We start from the raw sequence: 24,362 nt of genomic DNA, 5'->3' as shown, positions 1-24,362 counted from the left end.
TTAATTCAGGGTTTTGTCTCCCTTTCTATTATGTATATATCGTTTAAACCTATAAAGTCTATTTGTCATGCCTCTTTTTTAAAAATAAATTTTCATACAATGCTATTTCATAATAATTTCTGTTTCAAAATTATTGGTTTTAGTATTTTTCAAGAAATTATGAGTTTAAATAAATTATTTTTTTCTTTTCTTAAATACCTGTTTTTGGGGAATGCAGAGCTATGTGTGCCCAAGTGTTTCTCTTTAGAGAATATAGTGCCCATGACTGTTATGTTTTCAGTTGTGAAGAAAAAATGCTAAAAGTTTCTCTGACTAACAAGGTCACCTAATCATCCCTAGGAATCAAAGTATCTGTAAATGTCACCTCACTTGTTCACAAATTTCCAGCTGCTAAGACAACTATGAAGACTTTGCTGGAGTGTTCTGTTTTTCTTTTGTCTGACCTCTAATACGTGTTTGAAGGCCACTAGACAACTAAAAGCTGAAATTTTCACCAGGAAAGTGGCCTAATCAAACTCATTCAATCTGTTCATATCTATATAAACAGTTGAATGTCATGCTGTGTTACTTTTAAAATACATTTTTCTTAAAGTATTTTATTTTTCTTTGAAGTTGGTTGAGTTCTTGCCAACTGGAGTAGGAAATCACAGGATCTGCTTCCTAATTACACGACAACATTCAAGTAAGGTTTTTTCCAGCAAGGATATATTAAATTCAACACTTTCGATATACCACATTGGCCTAACATATGTGGTTTTTCAGGTATCTTGAGGCATCCACACTTAGGTTAATCAGATTTCTATTGTCGCAAAGACCTCATGAGTCTCATGAAAGGCACAAGATAGGCACAGCCTGATATGTTTGACCAAGCATACAAATAGTTTGTATACAATGGTCAGCCACAAGCTTTCATACCGTGGTGTTAGATGTGCAAATAAGTCATATTAAGAGAAAAGAGACTCAAGAAACACAACTTTGGTTTGTTCGGTGAAGAGAAATAATCTTGGTGTCTTATTATGTGATGTCGCTAAAGTTGACCTTTGTCTTAGTTTCTGGGAAACCTACACTAGTGTCACATAGTGAACTAAAAAAATTAATGATTGAGTAAAATGTTTAGACTTACATTGGTATGTAATCATAGTGATGGTGACCTTATAAGGTTTCATTCAACTGAAAGCATACATGATAGGAAAAGAAGGCCATATTAAAAAATACTATTTGGAAAACAGGCATAAAACAGAATATTCTAATCTATCCGAGTTAGATTCACCCTAAAATAGGTAAGATTAACAGAGATGAGAAAAGATTCAGTTTATGCTGAGCATCATTCTTAGAATAAATCTCCTTCCACACACCTACACACTTGAAGGTGACTACTTAGAAGCACATATATGCATACAGCAATTGGAGAACAAGCAACTAGAAAGTCCCATATAGAGTGACAACACTAACTGAAGGAATCTGATCCCACATTGCAGAAAGAGAGAACACACTGGGTAATTTATAAACAATTGTTTATTCAGGCATGGTTTATTTCTTATTTATATTTGAATTAGTACGGCACCTGGTGTAAACTTTGGTCATGTTGGACTCAAAGTGCACGTTCATTTTAAAAGTGTATATTATCTAAATATCCACATTAGCTCTTGGGGGAAAAGTGATAAAGACTACTTGACGTGAGGGACAGTGGGTCATTGGCTACATTGGTTATGGAGACTTAAGTGAGGAAAAACAAACTGATGCTATTTGTTAATTTGATTCTATTATGTTATCTTCTCCTTTTACTTTGTGTCATGGGTGGCAGTTTCAAAGGTAGTAATGTTTGTTCTTGTGCAATATAAGTGACACCATTATTATTGCAACCAAACCATCGTACTTACATCCACCCTGCACCCTAAGAACTGAAACCACATTTCACTGTCTACTTTAACATGATTTCTCTATTCCTCTGATTTCATTAGCATGACTTCATTGTTCTGGCAGTTTAGATCAGTACGAAAACTTCCCAGAAGATCAATCAACTTTGCAATGAAAAACTTCATTAGTTTGCTGTGCTATAAGATTCACTGAATCCTTTGTGTCAAAATCCTTACCTTAGTGTTCCCAACAATTGTGTACTATTGTGTCTTGATTTGAATCCACCTTAAATCAAACTTCCAATATCTCCATCTGATCTACTGCCAGATGAAACACCAACCTTATATCAAACTTCCAATATCTCCATCTGATATACTGCCAAACTTTATGAGGTAACGTTCCCCATGACCTAGGTCTATAATACATGCAACTTTGACTTTTCAACAGATTGTGTTGGTAACATTTGGGGAGTCAATTTCTGACAAATTTTGAGGCCAATTTTTTTACAATTATTTACCACAACAAGCAATTCCACTTGTGTTTCTTATTAACAATGTCACCTTTCCTTATCTTACCTGGAAACACTTGGCATTATTCTCTTTCATAGGACTAAAGTTTCCTGGTTCATATCATGTAGAGGAGACACCTTTTCTTTTTTTTTTCTCTCGGGAAAGAAGACAAACTTTTGAAAACGTAAATTTTGACAGTTAATCTTTTTTTCTCATGAGTTACAAAGGAGATATTACTGTTTGTCTGAAAAGTTAATTTCAGAACTTCTGGTTCCAAAATGGCAAAGTCCCTCTTGGATCTTCCCTCCCAGAGAGAAATATTGTAAACTTTGGGGAAAAATAAAAGAATGCAAGTAAATCTGGAAGGAAACAAGCATTTATAAGAAGGGAAAGGCACAAGGTGAGTTTCTAGAACTAATAGCTTAAGACTTAGAAGTGACCAAATTTAGTGCCACACTGCGTGGTTAGAATTTGAAAGAAAACACACAGTCTTTCTACCATGAAGAAATATAAGTGTTTCAGGCAACCAACACCACTTAAAAGTGAAAGGGAATCTAGTAAAGGAGAAATCCAGAGCAGAAAGCACCACATGCTGCGTATGTAGATTCTCTGCCAACACCTCTGACTGGCTCCTGAATCACTGCATACGTGCGTGGTCCAGATTTTAAGAAATGTGCTGAAACTCGAACTGCTCTCCAAGAGAAAGGGCTTACATTTGAGTCGATCTAAGTTAATTGCCTACTAAAACAAATAAACAAACAACAATACAAATACTTTTCAGAGGACTACAACATAACCTGACTTCCATAACAAAATTTTCACAATCAACTGGATAAAATTCACAATTATCCAACAATAAAAAACGAAACAGAAAAACATGAACCATTTTCAAAAGAAAGTAAATGGGAAGTTTGTAAATTTATGACTATTTGAGGCTTAAAATATCTTTAAACTCTCAAAATTCTACAGGGATGAGAAGACTGAAGAAGCCACTCTGACACCAAAAAAGGGCAAATTATTTAATAGCCACATGTGATGAAACCAAGGAGGTAAAAACCTTACAAAGACACAGAGCTTTGTGTTTGATATTATAACTGGCTAGGAATTTTGAGTCCTTACTCTTGTGGAATGACATATACTCTATTTTTATTTAGAAAAACAAGTGAGCTAAATATTAGTAACCGAAAGAGTGAAATACAGTTTACTAATTATTTCCAGCTCTCTATTTTCTGAAGACATAATACAATTTCACCTCCTGGAACATTTTGTGGTTGGGTGGGACCATACGCTGAATTAGTAAATGAGTGGTAGACAAATTAGTAGCATGTCACTGAAGAGACATATTATTCACATATATATTGGCTAGCCCATTTAAATGCAACGTGAGATTAACCAAGCAGATTTTTAGTTTTCTCTCTAGCATAGAAACTAGGAGCATCAAAATGAGTGGTTACTGTTTACTAGGTTTCTAAAGGATTACAACAGAGCAGAAGCCTTCCTGTAAACCAAATGGCTAAGAATTTATAGTGAGAAATGAATCTTTGTTGCTTAAGAATATAAAGTTTTTATAAAAATATCACACAGTATGTTTTTGAGGTTGCTGGTTATTTTAGAGAAACATGGATGGCCTATGCTGACCACTGAGGAAAGTCAACTAACTACTTTAGTTTTCCCTGTTGGCTATGATGAGTCATTCAGCCAGGAGGCCTCTGGTGGGTGTGATGTACTTGATCTTCCATAGCTTTTACTACAACTTTGAACATCCTGCCAGTTCTCTGTCCTGCCTCATTTGCTACAGATAACCCCATCTCTATCATGACTGTCTATCAGATTTTCTTTTCCACTTTTAGTTTTTCTCATTCTAAATTTAAGAATCTACTGTCTAGATTTTCTCTCAGTATTTCTAGCTGTGACAAATTTTCTTCATCTCTAAATAAGGGTAATAACCGGTCATACATTAGGGAGTTGTTAGAGGGATTTAAAAAATAGATGTTAAGAATGTAGACATCTCTGTTGGCATTATGATCACCATCATCATCCCGTCACTACCAGCATCTTTATCTCTGTGATCTTACGGCAGACATGGGGATGGTTAAAATGATTTCCTATATAATGTTAAGAACCGTTGAATCACCTCAGCATTATTTCCTTAAGTATCTCGCTCAGATATTGGGATTACTCTACCCTAATTTTATCAATTTTTCATTATCTGCAGGTCTTACATTATAAACAAGGCACAAACCTTATCTGTTCAAAGATACCTTCATACTTACCTATGCATTTTCATTCACACTCCTGCTGATCTTTCTTTGTATTTGACCCAAATGAATCAAAGTAGGAAATTGTAACTGTAGAGACTCAACATTTCTACATTTTAGTCAAGGCCCATTTGAATTTTACTCCTGTGATACATGCTTGGTGATAAAACTCTTTTCTCCTTTGGATGAGAAGAAGATATTTAGCATTATCATGCATTCTCAGATTTACAGTTTGAGGACTGTAAACTCTGAGGCCTTCTGACTTTCATTCTAATAAGTGATGCTCTGCTTTTTGAACTAAAATAAAATATCAGTTATCCACCATAAATAAAGTTCTAGAGATCTGCTATACAACACTGTACCTATAGATGTTAATACTTTATTGTACACTTAAAAATTTGTTAAGAATGCACTTATCTCATGTTGAGTGTTCTTACCACAATAACAATACTTTATCATAAATTTAAAAATCTGTAGAGGATAGATTCTCATGCTAAGCGTTCTTACTACAATAAAATTTTAAAAATGCAACAAATAACAACAGCATTTTAACAATACTCCTGCAAAAGGCTTAAAAATATGCATTGAGATTCACAACTCATTTTTTGTTTTAATCTGACTAGATTGTCTCTTTCTCTGGGGCAGTAGATGTACTGGTTTGTTAGGAGAGAGACCATGGAAAAGGAAGGATCAGTGTGAACAAGCAAAATTTCAGTTTCAAATCTTCACGTTATGTTTTGCAACACTAACAATATAATAAGGCTGAAATTTTTGGCTAAATAAAATATTCAGTAATTTCAATTAACACTGCATTTGACATTGCTAATTGGAAAACTTATGTGCTGATAAAAGCACTCTGTCCCCTACTCTTTGTATTTCTAACACACAGTGGTTCTATCACTTAAGCTCCACACATATCAGCTACAGACCAAATCATTTTTTCTTTTTTGAGACAGAGTCTTGCTCTGTCGCCCAGGCTGGAGTGCAGTGGCATGATCTCCGCTCACTGCAAGCTCCGCCTCCTGGGTTCACACCATTCTCCTGACTCAGCCTCCCGAGTAGCTGGGACTACAGGCGCCCACCACCACGCAGGCTAATTTTTTTTTTTTTTTTTTAAGTAGATATGGGGTTTCACCATGTTAGCCAGGATGGTCTCAATCTCCTGACCTCGTGATCGGCCTTCCTCGGCCTCCCAAAATGCTGGGATTACAGACGTGAGCCACTGCACCCGGCCAGGCCAAAGCATTTCTGACACGCATAGACTCCCTTCCTTGTATTCCAGCCCCTTTCTCCCTTTTCTGAAAGAGAAAGGACATGCAGTTCTAAAGCTTCAAGTTTTGTTTTTCTTTCTTTGTCTCAATTTACCTTTTTGGTTTTTTAATGACTACTGATATACTCTGGCTATGACCAACAATATTCTTCACCTCTGCTGTGTTTTTTTGCACTGATGTATGATTATTCTTTTTTTCTTTTTTCACATTTAAAATAACCTATATTTTAAATGTGATTCAAGTTATATACCTTAAATATCATATTTATCAGTAAATTACTTATGGAACTCTTTACTTAGTATCCTTGAATGTAGAGATGGTGTCATGTAAGTTGGTAGCCCAAAAAGTGCCCAGATTCCTAAATTGACATAAAAGTGTTCAAAAACATTTATCATAAGAATTTTTCAATCAACTTTAGTGAAAATGTTTAGAATATGTTAAATACCAATAGAAAGCTACTAACAAGAAGACTTCTTCTTCCTCACTCCTTTATGGTATAATATGAATATATTTTAAAAAACATATAAAAAATTCACACTTTTGTGTTTATCCTTTTGAGAATTTACAATTTTCATATTATGGGTTTTCAAATTTCTTGATTCCCTTCAGCCAGTCCTCATACGTAAATGCAGGATTTCCATAGATAGCTCCTATTACAACTAATGATAGCTATATAAATTAATCTGGAAACTGCTTCTGTTGGCCTATCTATTACAAGCCTTCCTTTTTAATGATAACACATTTTTTTCCTAATGGGAAACATGACAACAAAATGGCTTTGACAATATACCTGTAGATTTTCCCCTCCAATGGCAATTTGTATAGTTTTAAGATTATAAGCAGAAGTAAGAGAAAAAAAATGGTATGCCAATGACTCAGTAGCTTTTTGTTTCATAAAAATGGATTGTGTGTGCTTCAGTATACATTAAAACAATAGCCCAGCTGTTATTTACACACATTTCAAAAATGGTGACAGGAAGTTTTAAAAATGTATAATTACCTGAGAGTTAAGAACAACCTTGTGAATCGACGATGAATAACAAGAAGTGTTTGGCAGGCCATCTAGAGTTTGCAAGAGTCATTCAACCAAGATAAAAAATGTACATCTATTATGGGGAAAAAATACAAGCTGATGAAAACAGCTTGTGTATTTTTTTGCTAATAAACTAAATATTGCTTTAAGGAAAAAAGTGATCTTGTTCTTTATTTTGTGATAGATATTCCAAAAAGTGGTCATTTCTTACTTATTTAAGATATCCTTTTTTTGTTTTTGTTGTTGTTGTTTTGAGATGGCGTCTCCTCTGCTGCACAGGCTGGAGTGCAAGTGGTGCAATCTTGGCTCACTGTAACCTCTGCCTCCTGGGTTCAAACAATTCTCTTGCCTTAGTCTCCCGAGTAGCTGAGATTGCAGGTGCACACAACCACCCCTGGTTATTTTTTGTATTTTTAGTAAAGACAGGTTTGTGCCATGTTTGTCAGGCTGGAATCGAACTCGTGACCTCAAGTGATCTGCCTGCCTCAGCCTCCCAAAGTGCAGGGATTACAGGTGTGAGCCACCGCACCTGGCCATATGAATGATACCCTTTGATCAGCCTTCTCATAGAGCTCTTAGCAGGTCATGGACATGGATCAGAATCCCTGGTTATGGGAACATATTTTGATGTCTCTTCAGCTAAACAGAGAAGCCACCTTTACATAGAACATGAATCTTTTATTTAGAGATCACCATGAAACTCTTAATTCCACAAACACACAATTAATTATTTCTAGTCTCCTCTTATTTGCATTAGTGTTTCAGAGTTGCCACTTGGAGCAAGTGAGGCAGAGTGGTAGGCTATGGGTCACACACCTGTTCCCTATTGAAGAGAACATTGGAAAAGCAAGAACAAGCTTTCTCATTTTCTATCAAGGATGAAAAGGGAAAGGGTCTACTTCCACCAAAGTCTGTAATAATGTAGATTTTCCATATATCAAGAGTTCAGATAGTCAATATAGCCCTTTACCAAAATGTCAAATATCAAGTATAGACATTAAGAAAATAAACAATGAATTTAATTAAACTTGGTTTCAAATCCCAGCTATGCCACCACTTCTGTGTTATTCTGGGAAGATTATGTGCCTTCCATGAGCATCTGTTTCAACTGTAAATATGGAGAAAAACATCTGCCCTAACTTATGAAATTATTTTTGAGATTAAAATAATGTAAATAAGGTGCATAACACAGTATCTGACACAATTCATACTCAAATGTTAATGTTAATTATGATACGTGAGGCTGTACGTTTCTCTGAAGATTTGAGGGAGGATATTGGGTATTGTGATGAAGGGTAACAGAACACTTGGTGGCCAAGTTGCTAAAAGAAGCACAAGTCATACCTTCAGATTTCATATGACCCAGCAATCTCACTTCCGGGTACATATCTGATATGGTTTGACTGTGTCTCCACGCAAATATCATCTTGAATTATAGCTCCCATAATTCCAGTGTGTTGTGGGAGGGAACTGGTGGGAGATAATTGAATCATGGAGGTGGTTTCCCCCCTACTGTTCTCTTGGTAGTGAATGTATCTCAAGAGGTCTGATGATTTTATAAGGGGAAACCTCTTTCCCTTGGTTCTCATTCTGTCTTTGTCTGATGCCATGTAAGGCATGCCTTTGTTCTTCCCTCACCTTCCACCATGATTGTGAGGCCTCCCCAGCCACGTGAACCTGTGAGTCCACTAAGCCTCTTTTTCTTTATAAATTACCCAGTCTCGGGTATGTCTTTATTAGCTGCATGAAAATGGACTAATACAATATCAAAAAAAAAAAAAAAACAGAAAATCAATATATCAAAGAGATATTTGCACTCCCATATTTATTATGACACTATTCACAATAACTAAGATATGAAATCAACATAAGTGTCCATCAATGGATGAATGGATTAAAAAATGTGGTACATATACACCACAGAATATTATTAACCCATGTGTTTGCAAGTGACAGGATCACAATCATTTTTATGGGCAAATAGTACTCAATTGTGTATATGTACCACATTTCCTTTAATACATTCATCTGCTGATGGACACTTAGGTAGCTTCCAAATCTTGGCTACTGTGAAGAGTGCCATAATAAACATGGGAGTGTAGATATCTCTTTGATATACTGATTTCCCTTTTTTAGGGTATATATCTTGCAGTGGGATTGCTGAATCATGTGAAAGTTCTATTTTTAGTTTTTGAGGAACATCTAAACAGTTCTCTACACTGGCTGTAATAATTTACATTATCACCAACAGTGTACTTGGGTTCCCTATTCTCCATATCCTCACCAACATTTATTTTTTCCTCCAGCAAATTAAATAGGTCATGCCACTCTCTCCTGGCCTATAAGGTTTCCACAGAGAATGCTGCCAGATATATTAGAGACTAATTGTTATATAACATATTGTACTTATATTTTTCCTGATGCTTTTAAAATATTTTCCTTATCCTTGACCTTTGGGAGTTGATTATTAAATGTCTTCTGGTATTCTTACTTGGGCAAAATCTCCTTAGTGTTATACGACTTTTTGGAACTTGAATATTGATACCATTGTCTTGCTTTGGGATGTTCTCTGTTACAATCCCTTTTAATAAAATTTCTATCCCTCTCTCTCTACTTCTTCTTTAAGACCAATAACTCTTAGATTTGCCCTTTTGAGGCTGTGTTCTAGATTTTGTAGGCATGCTTCTTTCTCTTTTATTTCTTTTTCTTTTGTCTCATTTGTGTATTTTCAAATAGCCTGTCTTCAAGCTCAATAATTATTTCTTCTGCCTGATGAATCTGCGGTTAAGAAACTCTTATACATTCTTCAGTATTTTAGTTGTGTTTTCAACTCCGGAATTTCTTTTTAATTATTTTAATCTCTTTGTTAAATTTCTCTGATAAGATTCTGAATGCCTTCTCTGTATCATCTTGAATTCTTTTGAGATTCCTCAAAATAGCTCTTTTGAATTTTCTGTCCAAGAAGTCACATATCTCTGTCTCTCCAATTGGTCACTCCAATCTTGGACACTCTTGAACAACCGCAAGCATCAAGACTATCCAGGAAAACATGGCTTCACCAAATGGACTAGTTTTCCTGGATGGTCTTGATGCTTGTGGATGTTCAAGAGTGTCTGGGCATTTAAGAGTTTGGTATTATTTTAGTCTTTGCTGCCTGGCCTTGGTTGTACCCATCCTTCTTGGGAAAGCTTTCCAGGTCTTCAAAAGGAATTGGGTGTTGTAATCTACATCTTTGGTCACTGCAGCCATATCTACTGCTACACAGCCAGTAGTGTTGTGGCTATTGCATATTTGTAGAGGTACCACCTTGGTGATCTTGAATAAGATCCAGGAGAATTCTCTGGATTACCAGGCAGAGACTCTTGTTCTCTTCCCTTACTTTCTCCCAAACCAACTCTCTCTCTGTCTCTGTCTCTGTCTCTCTCTCTCTCTCTCTCTCTTTCCTGATCTTGCTGGAGCTGGGGGATGAGTGACAGAAGCACCCTTGTGGCCACCACCCCTGCGACTGTGCTGGGTCAGATCTAAACCATCACAGCACTCGGTCTCACCCAAGGCTTGTGATAACCACTGCTTTGGTACTGCCTGTGTTCACTCAAGGCCTCAGAGCCCTACAATCAGCAGTTGGCAAAGCCAGCCAGGATCATGTCCTTTTCTTCAGGGCAATGAGTTCTCTCCAGTTCCTGGTGGTCTCCAAGATGCCATCCGGAGCCAGGGCCTGAAGTCACAAACCTTAGGAATCTACCTGATGCTCTGTTTTACTGTGGCTGAGCTGGCACCCAAACCATGAGACAAAATCCTTCCCACTCTTCCTTCCCCTTTATACAAGTAGAATAGTCTCTCCCTGTGGCCACCACCACCCCAGGCTCATGGTGACTACTTCCTGCCTACAACTTGTATTCATTCCCTGGACCTTCCCAGTTGGTGTCTCACTGGATTGCATGCCCCACAAGTCCATGGGTCCAAGCCCAGAACAACTCCAGGCCTTGTCTGAGATTGCAATTCTGTGGCCTAGACTGCCTCTCAAGTTTATTCAGGAACCCAGAGCCCTTTATCTCATGGTAGTGGGGCTAGCTAGAACTCAGGTCCCAACTGCTGAGATGAGTGATTGCCCCGTGGATAGGGCTGGTCTAATTCTCCCTCTGTGGGTGTCAGCTGAGTTCTGCTTGGTGTTGCTTTCCCCTGTTACAGGGCAACACGGGGTTCCAATGCAAAGTCCCACAATTACTGTGCTCTCTCTTCTCAAAGCACTTAGATTCTCTCTCTGAGTAGCGTGGCCACTGCAAAAAGATGAGGGTGGAGTGATGCCAGCAATTCACACTGTCTTTTCTACCCTCTTCAGTGCCTTTCCTTGATATGATATTAAAACCAGGTACTATGATAGCTAACCTGATTTTTGGTTATTATGAAGGTGCTTTGTTGTGTGGATTGTAGTTCAGTTTGGTATTCCTGCCAGGAGGACAATCTGTGGAGGCTTTTATTCACTCATGCTCTGCCTCCTCCGGGATTTTATTTTTTTTAATTTTACTTTAAGTTCTGGGATACATGTGCAGAATGTGCAGGTTAGTTACATAGGTATACATGTGCCATGGTGGTTTGCTTCAACCCATCATCTAGGTTTTAAGCCCCGCATACATTAGGTATTTGTCCTAATGCTCTCCCTCCTCTTGCCCCTAACCCCCAAACAGGCCCTGATGTGTGATGTTCCCCTCCCTGCGTCCATGTGTTCTCGTTGTTCAACTCCCACATGCGAGCGAGAACATGCGGTGTTTGGCTTTCTGCTCCTTTGTTAGTTTGCTGAGAATGATGGTTTCCAGCGTCATCCATGTCCCTGCAAAGGACATGAACTCATCCTTTTTCATGGCTGCATAGTATTGCATGGTGTATATGTGCCACATTTTCTTTATCCAGTCTATCATTAATGGGCATTGGGTTGGTTCCAAGACTTTGCTATTGTAAATAGTGCTGCAATAAACATATGTGTGCATGTGTCTTTATAGTAGAATGATTTATAATCCTTTGGGTATATACCCAGTAATGGGATTGCTGGGTCAAATGGTATTTCTGTTTCTACATCCTTGAGGAATCGCCACATTGTCTTCCACAATGGTTGAACTAATTTACACTCACACCAACAGTGTAAAAGCGTTCCTATTTCTCCACAGCCTTGCAATCTACCCATCTGACAAAAGTCTAATATCCAGAATCTACAAGGAACTTGAACAAATTTACAAGAAAAAAACCAAACAACCCCATCAAAAAGTGAGAAAAGAATATGAACAGACACTTCTCAAAAGAAGACATTTATGCTGCCAACAAACATATGAAAAAAAGCCCATCATCACTGGTCATTAGAGAAATGCAAATCAAAACCAAAATGGGAATATTCTTAACACGAAGAAATGATAAATGTTTAAGGTGATGCCTGCCCCAATTACCCTGATTTGATCATTATACATTGCATGCTTGCATCAAAATATCATATGTATCCCATTAATATGTATCACTATTATGCAGCCATAATAATTAAAATTAAAAATTAAAAAATGCTCATAATTTGGGAAAATCTTTCTCTAAACCAGGTTCCTTTCTCAATAATCATACTGTAATGAAACAAAAAGGCTATTCTATGCAAAGAGTTAGAAAATCCCTTAGAGTTAAGAATAATTTTATCACATTCCCACAAGATAAGTTCCAGCCCTTAAACTGAGAGCAAAACCAACTCCCCTGGTGCTGGAATGGTTTGTATTGTACCATAGCATATTATGTGGCTTATTTCTAAAATAGTTAGAATTTAAATGAATCATGAAAATGCAATTAAAACACACTATGGTTACAAAGATTTTTTTAAATCTAAAACTTGGATCTTATATTTAATTGATGATTTGTCATTCTGTAATTTTTATATTCCTTGGCAAATTATTATAGATTTTCAAAAATTTAAGTTATCCACAATTTGAAATTTAGGAAATACATTTTATTATAAAGATATATTTTCTTAGGTTGCCAGTGTTTTAAAAAACTGTCACATGTTTACCATAATTGTAGCTCAATTATACATCTCTAATGACCAATATTGAGCCCGCAGCGCCCATGACTTTCTCAATAGGCACTACCATTTAACTTTAGTTTGAAAGCCAAGAATGTTGTCTGCATGCTATTAGTTTCAAATTTTACAGGACAAAATGCAATATCGGCTGTCTCACTGAGATTAGTTTGCACATCTCATTAGCATTGTATCTCCACAGTATACACTCTTAGTAAGGTGTAAAACAATGTATTCTATTATTTTCATTAAGTTATTAGTATTATGTCAATTTTATTCAACTTTATTTGGCAAAGTTTGCTCTGACCTGGCAAAAGCAAATTTTGTCAGTATCTTCAAATACTTCATAAACTTCATGATTTCCAAATAGCTGTAATTTGAATTATTAGAGTCAGTTTATTTTCAGCAGGGAGATAATAGTATCACTAAATCCATTAATCAATACAAATCAAAATCTGTTTCACTTCATTGTTTTCAGAGCCTTTATTTGCACTTTCCATATTTGTTTCTCTGTCCTTTCTCTCTACCCATATACATATTAAGTGTGTATATAACTACATCTGTGCAGGTATGCCATACCTATTTATATACTAAAACACACACACACACAACTATGTGTAGGTGCACACAACTTACACATTATATACATGCACACGCTTACAATCGTGATCATCATTATCAGATGGGAATTGCAAATTGTTCAATAGGTATAGCTTTGTTATCTTAAAAGCAACACATCCTCTTGAACATTTTTGTTGTAACTGTTAGTCTCTAAGCTACGTACGATGCATTTCAGCTTCATGTGAATTCAGATAAGTTCCTTAACCTCTCATGACCTCAGTTTGATCATCTGTAAAAAGGCCATAATTAAAATTTATGCCTCACATTCTTGTGAAAATTAAGGTAATTATCTTGCATAAACTACTTAGTTCCTTACTTGCCCCTTGCTTGGCAAATAACATGTACTCAGTAAATACTATCAGTCATTTTCAAACTCTATGTTTCATAAATTTTATGACAGCAAATTCTTCATTTTCTCTCTGATTTATGTATCAATTCTTAATTATTTTTCCCCATGGATAGCAGCCTCAAAAATAACAGGCCCCCCTGCCACTCCATCTACCAAGGTAGTAGTTATCATATTTTTAGATTCCATGAACAGTAAGTTAAAAATGAGAACTGTGGCATATTTTCCATATCTATGACTTTTTCAATTAGCATATTTTCCACATGTGCACATAAATGTACATATTTAAACTCCTGCTTCATCCCTGATGTTGAAAATAAGGATCAAGGAATAAAGGAAATCAATTTAATTTCTGTCCATGTATGCAGCATATGTTGTAGGTACATATAAAATGTTTTATGTTTCCAGTTCTCTGGAGTGAAACTATCATTTTTATAAATATAATGGTGGGTTCAATGCAAAAGAGACAATGGGTAGAATAGAGTACGGTGTCCTTGAATTAACTGGAAAAAATAACAAATTAGTGATAGACATTCATATTGAAGATGGTCTGTCATACTCAAGATTTGTTGAGTTTCATCCAGAAGGACTGCATGGTTACCCAGATGATAGCAGTCTTGTAGGAAGAAAAAGCACACAGCCTGCTTATTTGACTTTCTTTGTTTTCTTTTTTACAAAATTAAATTCAAAGTTCTGATTGGCAAACCTCTGAAAAAATGAAAATAAAAAAAGAAATAAATAAGAGTAAAGAAAAGAGCACCTGAAATTTTAGTAAATGCATTACATTTTGTGTCACTGGAAAATAAGTCAATATAGCTTCTCAATAAAATAACTGAAAATTGTCTGTAAACACTCTGGAAATCCATTAAAAATTTTATTGTTAAACAAAGTCTACTTATACTGGTAAAATAATATTAAAAACACCCCCTAAAATATTAAATTCTGGTATGACCACATAAGGAACTCTGCATACCCATTCCCCAGTGAAACTGGCAAAAACTATCCATATTTCTTTATAGAGTCTCTTAAAATCTTTGCCCATTTTGTATATTGTTTTTATGTTATCATATTAAAAGAGGGCTTTATATATTTAGGATACAAGTCCTCTTAAATAGGTGTTGCAAATATTTTATCCAAGTCTCTAGCTTGCCTTTTCATTTTTAATAGTGATTTTCAAAGAGCAAATCTTTTTCATTTGAAAAAATTTCAATGCATCTTTTTTATTTCAATATAAGCTTATTTTTGCGAAAACTTTTTTTATACTTTACAACTGCAATAATTTTCACTGCATTTCCTTCTAGTCTATTAGTTTTTCTTTTACATTTGTTGATGTGGTCACAACTGTAGCCACTAAATATAAATAATAGTAATTGTTACTATTGACTATTTGTCTGCTAGATACTAGCACTGTGCGAAAGTACGTAAGGTGCTAAAATACTATAGAGAAACCAATAAAATACATTTAAATGCTCAGAGATTTCTTCACTAGAAGGTAACATCTAAGCTGAGTAATTAGGGAAGAATGAAATTTAACCAGGCAAAAATGAATAGGAGAAGTTTAAATATTCAGCATAGCAAATGCCAAATGCATAAGCCAAGAGGTAACAGAGGATGATAAGTGTTGGGAAGAGCAGGTTTAGCTTGATTGAAACTTTGCATGTGAGGGAATACAAGCTGACGGACAGATCTGAAATAATTAGGAAAGGTTAGATCATAAATGTCTTACACATCCTGTGCTATGGAGTAGAATTCACAATGAACACAATGGGAAACTACTGAAACGTTTTAATCAAGACAGGGATCTAACACATTTTAACTTTGGGGGGAAAAATGCAACACAAGCTGTCATGTTCCAAATGGACTTGAGACAGAATAATATAAAGAGTTATTTTAATATTCAATTATAGAAAACATGGGAGTCTATAGATAATTTGAGGAGATGGGGTATTGAGATAATTGGGAGAGATATTTGAGAACACCAAATTAACTGGATTTGGTCACTGACTCATTATTAGGCAAAGGGATGAATAAAGGTTGACCTGAGCAAATGTGTGAATACTTCTAACATTCACCAATATAAAAAATACATAATGAAACACAGATTTGAGAGGAAAAACATCATTGATTTATCATGTCTGAGCTAACCAATAAAATATCTTCATGGTGGTGTATTCAGCAGGTAGCTGATAGCATAGGTATGAATCATACAGTAATACACTTATGTGTACATATAAATTTAGGAAGTATCAAACGTATCAATGGTGTTTGATTATTTGGGAGAAGACTATCAGTATCCCTTTTCTTGAGTGCCAGAAAAATCTGCACTTACATGGATTACATTAATACGGTGATAAGTACATGTCTGTTCAGAGCTATTTTAACTGCATCAGGCCAATCTGCTACAACTTTTACATTACAAAGTTATGAGTTGTTTTATAGTTGCCATGGACTCTCAGGTTGAAAGTCATGCAACCTGAGCACGCCCAGATGTAGCAAGTGTACAGCCACAGGGGGACCCTAAGTGCTCAGTCTGAGGAGCGCGGACTGAATTTAGAAATGGACACCCCATGGGAGCATCCAGGATTCAGTCAGATCAAGCTCTGGTGTAATCTCATGGCAGGACCAGTCAGATCATGCCCCTCAGCACCACCTCATTATAAGATCCAATCAGATTACATTTCACTATCCTATGTTTATAAAAGCTGACCCAAACTCGAGCTTAGGGAGACAGATTTGAGCATATCCTCTTGTCTGCTTGCCAGTTGACTAGAAATAAAGCTTTTCCTTGGTTGAAAGCCCATACCATGGTATTCGCCTCTATGCACATCAGGCAAAGAGCGTGTTGATTGCTTGGTAATATTACGGCTCTTTCAACATCACAAAATGTAACAGATATTTGTTTGTGTTTGCTGCACAAATAAATTAGTGAGTGAATGAATACATAAATAAATGAGACATAAAGAGTCAAAATGCCCGTTTTATGATATAGCCTCAAAGTCTCACAGCATGACTTTAACTGCAATCTATAAGTTCCTAACAGCCCAAATTCAAGGGGAGAATTAGACTCCACATTTTTATTCGAAGAGCCACGTATATGTACATGGAAGGACAGCTGATATCAACCAACTATGATATAATATATTATACTAGTTTACTGTGGGTCCACAAAATATAGGTCTTAAATAAATAGAAAAAAGGAAAAGACACTTGTTGATATGCATTTCAGTAATCACTGAAAGTTGGTTCCTGGTCTCCTTGGCAGCTGATTCAGGAAGATAAGTATGCTCGGCCATTATTCAACAATGCACACTTTCAAAGTGATTACTTCAACTGAAGAGAAATACTACAATGCATTTTTAAAATTCACTGTATCTTTGATCATTGATTTTATGTTACATGATAAATATACAATGTGGAGAGGTCTGAGGTCAATTGCTTTAGAATTAAATTTATACGCTAAAAATAAGTCTACAAAAGAAGATACTTCATTCAGAATTGATGCCTAAGAAAAGGATCCAGTACAGAGAATGTATTATAATTAGAGGTTAATACATTTCTTTAAAATTAATAAACGAAAAATAAAAAAATTGCATGTTTGAAGAAATCACATATATAATAGCTGGGACAGATCAGACCATACCAATAAAATAGTGGATAACTCTCCTTTAAATATTTTGTATGCAAGTAACAAAAACGTGTATACTAAGCTTATAAGATTTTTAACAATTCAATTTAATGTATGGTCTAACTTTCACTACCAATCATGCCTAAAATTACTTACGGTAGTTTGCGGAAAGTCTTAATCTATGCTACTTGAAGGGCAGTTGATGGGCTATGCCAGCCTAGGAAAGGGTAGTTTTCAGTCTACAGAGATGTTTAGAAACTTTTATAGCAATTGACATTCTCATGGTAATAAAAGATGTAATCAGTTATTCATTTTAATCAAATTTTATAAAAGGGCTGGCCTGCCAACTTTTAAAATTAAAAAATAAAATATGTGTCTTCATTAAAGACTATTTTGAAAAGCATTACATCTTGTCTACATTTTATACATTAAATACACTCATACCTTTTTACTTTACATTAGTGGAACTTACTGTATTTATTGCTATGAAACAACTCCTACACTCAATAATTAACCTTTTTATTCCATAAGTTATTGGGCTTCAGGTGGTATTTGGCTACATGAGTAAGTTCTTTAGTGGTGATTTGTGAGATTTTTGTGCACCCATCACCCAAGTAGGATACACTGCACCATATTTGTAGTCTTTTATCTCTCACCTCCCTACTCTTACCCCAAGTCCCCACAGTCCATTGTATTATTCTGATGCCTTTGCGTCCTCATAGCTGAGCTCCGACATATCAATGAGAACATACTAAGTTTGGTTTTCATTCCTGAGTTACTTCACTTAGGATAATAGTCTCCAATCTCATCCAGGTCACTGAAAATGCCTTTAATTCATTCCTTTTTATGGCTGAGTAATATTCCATCATATCAATATACTGCAGTTTCTTTATCCGCTCATTGATTAATGGGCATTTTGGTTGGTTCCATGATTTTGTAATTGCAAATTGTGCTACTGTACACATGCGTGTTCAAATATCTTTTTGGTATAATGACTTTTTTTTTCCTCTGGCTAGATACCCAGAAGTGGAATTGCTGAATCAAATGGTAGTTTTACTTTTAGTTCTTCAAGGAAACTCCACGCTGTTTTCCATTGTGGTTGTACTAGTTTACATCCCCACCAGCAGTGTAGAAGCATTCCCTGATCACCATATCCACGCCAACATCTAGTGTTTTTTGAGTTTTCAATTATTGCCATTCTTGTAGAAGTAAGGTGGTATCACATTGTGATTTTGATTTGTATTTCCCTGATCATCAGTGATGTTGAGCATTTTTTCATGTTTGTTGGCCATTTGTATATCTTCTTTCGAGAATTGTCTTTTCAGGTCCTTAACCCACTTTTTGGTGGGATTGTTTGTTTTTTTCTTACTGATTTGCTTGAGTTTGTTATAGATTTTGGATATTAGTCCTTCGTCAGATGTATAGCTTGTGACGATTTTCTTCCACTCTGTGGGTTGTCCCTGTACTCTGCTGACTGTTCCTTTTGCCGTGCAAAAGCTCTTGAGTTTAATTAAGTCCCAACTATTTATCTTTGTTTTTGTTGCATTTCCTTTTGGCTTCTTGGTCATGTAATTCTTGCCTAAGCCAATGTTTAGAATGGTTTTTCCAATGTTATCTTCTAGAATTTTTATAGTTTCAGTTCTTAGATTTAAGTCTTTAACCCATCTTGAGTTGATTTTCATATAAGGTAAGAAATAAGGATCCCTTTATGATTTGTCAATGTTAATATAATGTAATTTTATTTCCATTCTTTATAATTGATGCATAATATTCCATTGAATAAATATACTATCATGTATATAATACAACTCTTCTATTGAAATAATTTAAATATTTTCTAATTTTTTTATTGTGGAAAAATACAGTAAAACCTTTCCACATATGTTTTCATACATATATGTGACTTGTGTTTAGGACAAATTTTAGAAGTGTATGTACTAGCTTAATATATGCACATAATTAAAAGTCAGTCAGATAATGACCAATTTCCTTCTAAAAATTGTTTATCTTTCAATTCTGACTATGATTAACTAGTTTGCAGCACAGCAAACTTCACATCAGGAAGAACTAGAAAACTAGATACGATTTTAAAAATCTATTTAAAGGCATTGGAGAGAAGTCAAGGTGGCCAGAGAATGTGGCAGTTTCTTCCTCCCTCTGGGAACACCCAGAGGATAGAATATTCATTGAAGTGATTTCCTGAATTCTACAATTGTGTTTTCTTTTGAAGCATTATCTTATTCATAAACAAAAGCAAGTATAATATAATGTACTTTACTCTTATTCTTTTCTATTGATTATTATTTTAAGTCAAAATAAGGGCCATGTCTACTCATAGCCCATTAGAGAAGAGAATGTTGTGTGACTCCAGGGTCTGACACTTATTAGTTCTTGAAAAATTGGTCAATTTCCTTCAACTCCAGGAGCCTCGCCTTTTTCACTTGTAAAATGAGGATAATAAAATGTAACTCACAAAATTGTTAGGAGGAAATGCAGTATGAAATGTAAAGTTATAGAAGTTCTTAACTCACGAATAAGGGTCACTCAGATAACATTAACTTACTTCCTTGTCAATTTTTGGATTTCCTTTGACTTTGTTCAAACTGATTTTAGGTCTTCTTCCTCTCTGCAGGACAGTGAGCTGGACAACATTGCTTCATTATTTCAGCTGCTTGTGAAGGAGGTAAGTTAAAAGCCTTCCAGGCTTGGTTGCTTTCTCTACAAGGAGCCTGCTTACTCCTTCTTAGTGGGAAGTCTGTTTCGTGGGTCAATAATGGATTCTGTTTTCCTGGAGTTTAGTCAATTGCCACAGGTGCGGGCAGTTTGGACCTTGATGTCAGTGCTTTTATGCTCTGATTCTAGCTGGTGAGCTTGCCTGTTTCTTACTTTGTAATCTTAGATTGTGGAGTTAAGAGATACACATATATCTAGGAGGCTCATGAAAACACTCATGCTTATTTGTGACCAGTTGGTAGTACACGACAGACATTTCTCCAGCCCCCACAAGTATCAAGACACTAGGGAGCTGCATGGGTCCTTACAAAATCTTCTTACCCAGCTCGACCCAGAAAAGCATGTTGCTTACTTGTCTTGCCGCTCTACGTCTTCTGCTAAACCCTCTAAGTAGCCAGTGGTTTGCTAGTTTCATGCAGCAGCGTTCATGTGTTCTCAAGGAATCTGAGAGTCCACGATCAATGCCACTAGCCCAACCCCAGGTAAGATATTGTCTATTGACTTTCCAGTCCCATTTCAAAAAACACATGTATGGTTGTCCTTTGTGCAGAACCTTGTTGGGGAGTACTGGAATTATTCACTAATTGGAAGAGTCAATGAAATTGTCCCAAGGAATGAAATTAATTAGGGTCATTTTTAGTTACTGCATTTCTGAAGTATATCATCTTCTTTAATATGAAGGAGGTGAAATGTGATATGATGTCACATTCTTTAATATATCCCCATGACATAATTTCTCCAAGCCTTAATTCTGCACTGTCAGCTGGCTCTTGCAATGTGTGTGGCTTTTCCAGCATTCACCTCCTGCAGCACCCATGGCTTCCTCAGTGCCCAGTGTCTGCAACATGGGCAAAGTTCTAGTGCCAGGCTCTCGTAGTGTGTGCAGTTTCTCCAGTGCTCAGCATCTGCAGTGCTCAGCAGCCACAAGCTCCTAGTGGCCAGAAGCTGTTATCAGAAATCCAGATGACCAACCATACTGGTTTGCTCAAGACTGCGGGTGTTTGTGGCATATGGGACTTTATACTTTAAAAATAGGCATTTTTGGACAAGCCAGGACAAGTTAGTCACCCTATGGAAAACACTCCTGCCCTTGGTAGTTTAGTAGCTTGTGGTGAGACAGGGATACCCCGTCCCCCACACCATGAAACCTTCCCTAGAACCCTAGAAAACATGTTTAATTTCTGCTAGCACAGTGACTTTTCTACTATATAGTGGGCCTTGTTTATGACCTCCAGACTTTGGGGTTGGGGGCGCAGCCTCCTCCTTGGGCACACTATCTCAGCCCAAGATATAGTGATGGCTTCTTATGTCTGCTAGCCCCACACTGCTTAGGGTTCTCCTTACTTCTTCTAGCCAATACCTCATTACTCCAGTTTCCTATTACGGTTAAAAACACTTTGTATGAAATCTTCTCTGTTCAAACTTCTGTTTCGTTTCTGTTCACTGTTTGTGCCCTGACTGATACAGATAGTATATTCATTTTTCCCTTGCTGTATTGAAGAATACTTGGCAAATAAAAATTGTATATATTTAATGTATACAATGTTTTGCTATTTTATATATAAATATATTATTAAATGATTATAACAATCAAGCTAATTAACATATTCATTCACCTCATATAGTTAGGAATTTGGGTGCATCAAAATCACTTTTTAACTAGCACTGAGAACATTTCCTGGCACATAAGAGGTGCCAAATACACATTTCTAACTAAATATATTAACCTGTATAAGATGTTTGTATCAAGTTTACCCATACATCTCACATAATTGGACAATAAGAATACATTTAAAAAATTGCATGAAAATACAGAACTTTTTGTAATCAGATGATATTACACTAAACAGAAGAATATAAAAAAACAAGAATCGTGCATTATTTTTTTCCATCTTGTTACATTTCAGGTGATAAAATTTTTGTCAGAATCTGAGACAATAAAATATCCTGCTTAAATATTGCGGGGTGGGGGGGAATAAAGACTTTTAAAAATGTACAGTTGTTGACCTAATACGTTGGGCGATAAAATGAAGTATAAGTTTCCTAACTGTTAGACCTTATAGCCTTCTTGATGTAGATCAGGTTCACAAGAGCTTAAATAGGACTTGGCATTTATCAAACCTTAAGACTTAAATTTAGGACTTGGAGCATCATCAGAGTGAGGACTAATAACAATATCACCTCATGGTCGTCAGAATAGGAAACATCGCTCTAACAGTTTAAGTCTTAGAATATTGTCACAGAAATAGGTTATACTGCTCAAGGAAATTTAATGTTCCCATTGAAGTATTAAGTTGGTGCAAAAGTTATTGTGGTTCTTGCCATTAAAAGTAATGTCAAAAATCACAATTATGTTTGCACCAACCTAATATTTGCTACATGGAGAATACAGTAACTCCTTCAGCACTCATATAGACCTTGCATTCCTTAACAGGGTAATACATTGATTTGTCCTCAGGATTTATGATAGAGGATACCCTTTTTTAAGATATTGTAAAAGTGTGCTGTTTATTTGAGAACCTCTTTTGGTTTACAACCATATTCATGTTCTCTCTTCTTGTATTTTAGTCTGTGCTTCTTTTCTCATCATCTATTTCCTGTCTCAGATGTTGCCATCTTTTGTTGCCTGATGGCTTGAAACCATTGTTTCCTTAGTTTTGTCCAGTTTTTTTTTTCTTTTTTGTATCAAGTAGGAAGGTAAATCTGATCTCTGTTCTTCAACCTTATCCAGAAGCTACTCAAAACTTTGTTTATTATTATATTATTGGGGGAACTGAACTAGGGGTGTGATTTTTAATTTATTAAAATGTGTTCATTTTAAGCCACACTTTCACAGATATGTAGCAATGCAGTACAACACACATGGCTAGTGACCCAGGATGCAAATCAGTTACAAGGTTTGGTTAGTGAAAGATTTTTCCAAGTTAGTTTAAAAAGACTGTACTGGTGCTAAATATGTGCGTAGTTAAATATGCACTGAAGTTTCGAATGCCCAGCTCAAGAGGGCCTTGCAGTCCCTATTAGATGAGTAAACAACTCAGCTCAGCCTTGAGACTTGTGAAGCTCAGCATCATGTTTTCAGAAGTTTCTTGTTTGGTATGAATCAGACTTTCTTGTCCTATCTTAGAAATCAAAGAAAGTCGGGTGTTGCGGGGAGGAACCTGCTTGTCTTCCTGTGTTCTTTATTTGTCAGGAATTGTATGGACAGTGTAATGTTGATAGAAAATTAGTTATAGCGACAGTATTGAGATAAGACTAAACAGCTAAAAAAAAAAACAGCAAGCTCTCTAGTGGCTTGAAAGATTTAAAGAAGTTTTGCTTTATTATTTTAATATTGAGGACTCACTGAAATCATCTGAAGACAGTAATTAAAACATCTGACTTGTATTTTGAAAGATAAATTTGGCAACAATCTTTTTAAGCATAGCACTTTTCCAAGAGAAAATGAAACATGTTGAAGTTACTTTTATTCTGTGTATTAGTCCGTTTTCACACTGCTAATAAAGACATACCAGAGACTGGGCAATTTACAAAAGAAAGAAGTTTATTGGACTTACTGTTCCACGTTGCTGGGGAAGCTTCACAATCACGGCAGAAGGCAATGAGCAGCAAGTCACGTCTTACATGGGTGGCAGCAGGCAAAGAGAGCTTGTGCAGGAAAATTCCCCCTTGTAAAAACCATCAGATTTCTTGAGACTTACTCACTATCATGAGCACAGGAAAGACCTGCCCCCATGATTCAGTTACCTCCCATCAGGTCCCTTTCACAGCACATAGGAACTCAAGGTGAGATTTAGGTGGGGACACAGCCAAACCGTATCATTCTGGAAAAAAAAAACAAAAAACAAAAATAAAAACATCATAAGTCTTAGCAAACCAATCTTTGTAAAGAAAGACATTTGAGGTTAGGTGCAGTGGCTCACGTCTGCAATCCCAGTGTTTTGGGAGGCCAAGGTGGGATGGGAAGATCATTTGAGGCCAGGAGTTCAAGACCAGCCTGGCAGTAAAGTGAGACCTTCATCTATTAAAAAAAAAAAAGCATTTGATAAATACTTCCGCTCATGTG

The 24,362-nt window shown here is 36.0% G+C and overlaps 1 long non-coding RNA gene across 1 annotated transcript in view; it reads right to left on the bottom strand.

Moving 5' to 3' along the window:
* LOC107985854 (uncharacterized) overlaps positions 1–23,948 on the bottom strand; it is a 71,840-nt gene extending 47,892 nt beyond the window's left edge. The window contains exon 1 of the long non-coding RNA XR_001739296.1: positions 23,854–23,948. This is a non-coding gene — a long non-coding RNA (uncharacterized LOC107985854). The remainder of the gene's footprint in view (positions 1–23,853) is intronic.
* Positions 23,949–24,362: the final 414 nt, after the last annotated feature.

The sequence above is a fragment of the Homo sapiens genome, chromosome 2 (assembly GCF_000001405.40).
Source record: "Homo sapiens chromosome 2, GRCh38.p14 Primary Assembly".
Classification (NCBI taxonomy): Eukaryota; Metazoa; Chordata; class Mammalia; order Primates; family Hominidae; genus Homo; species Homo sapiens.
This window is presented reverse-complemented; position numbering and strand designations above follow the sequence as displayed.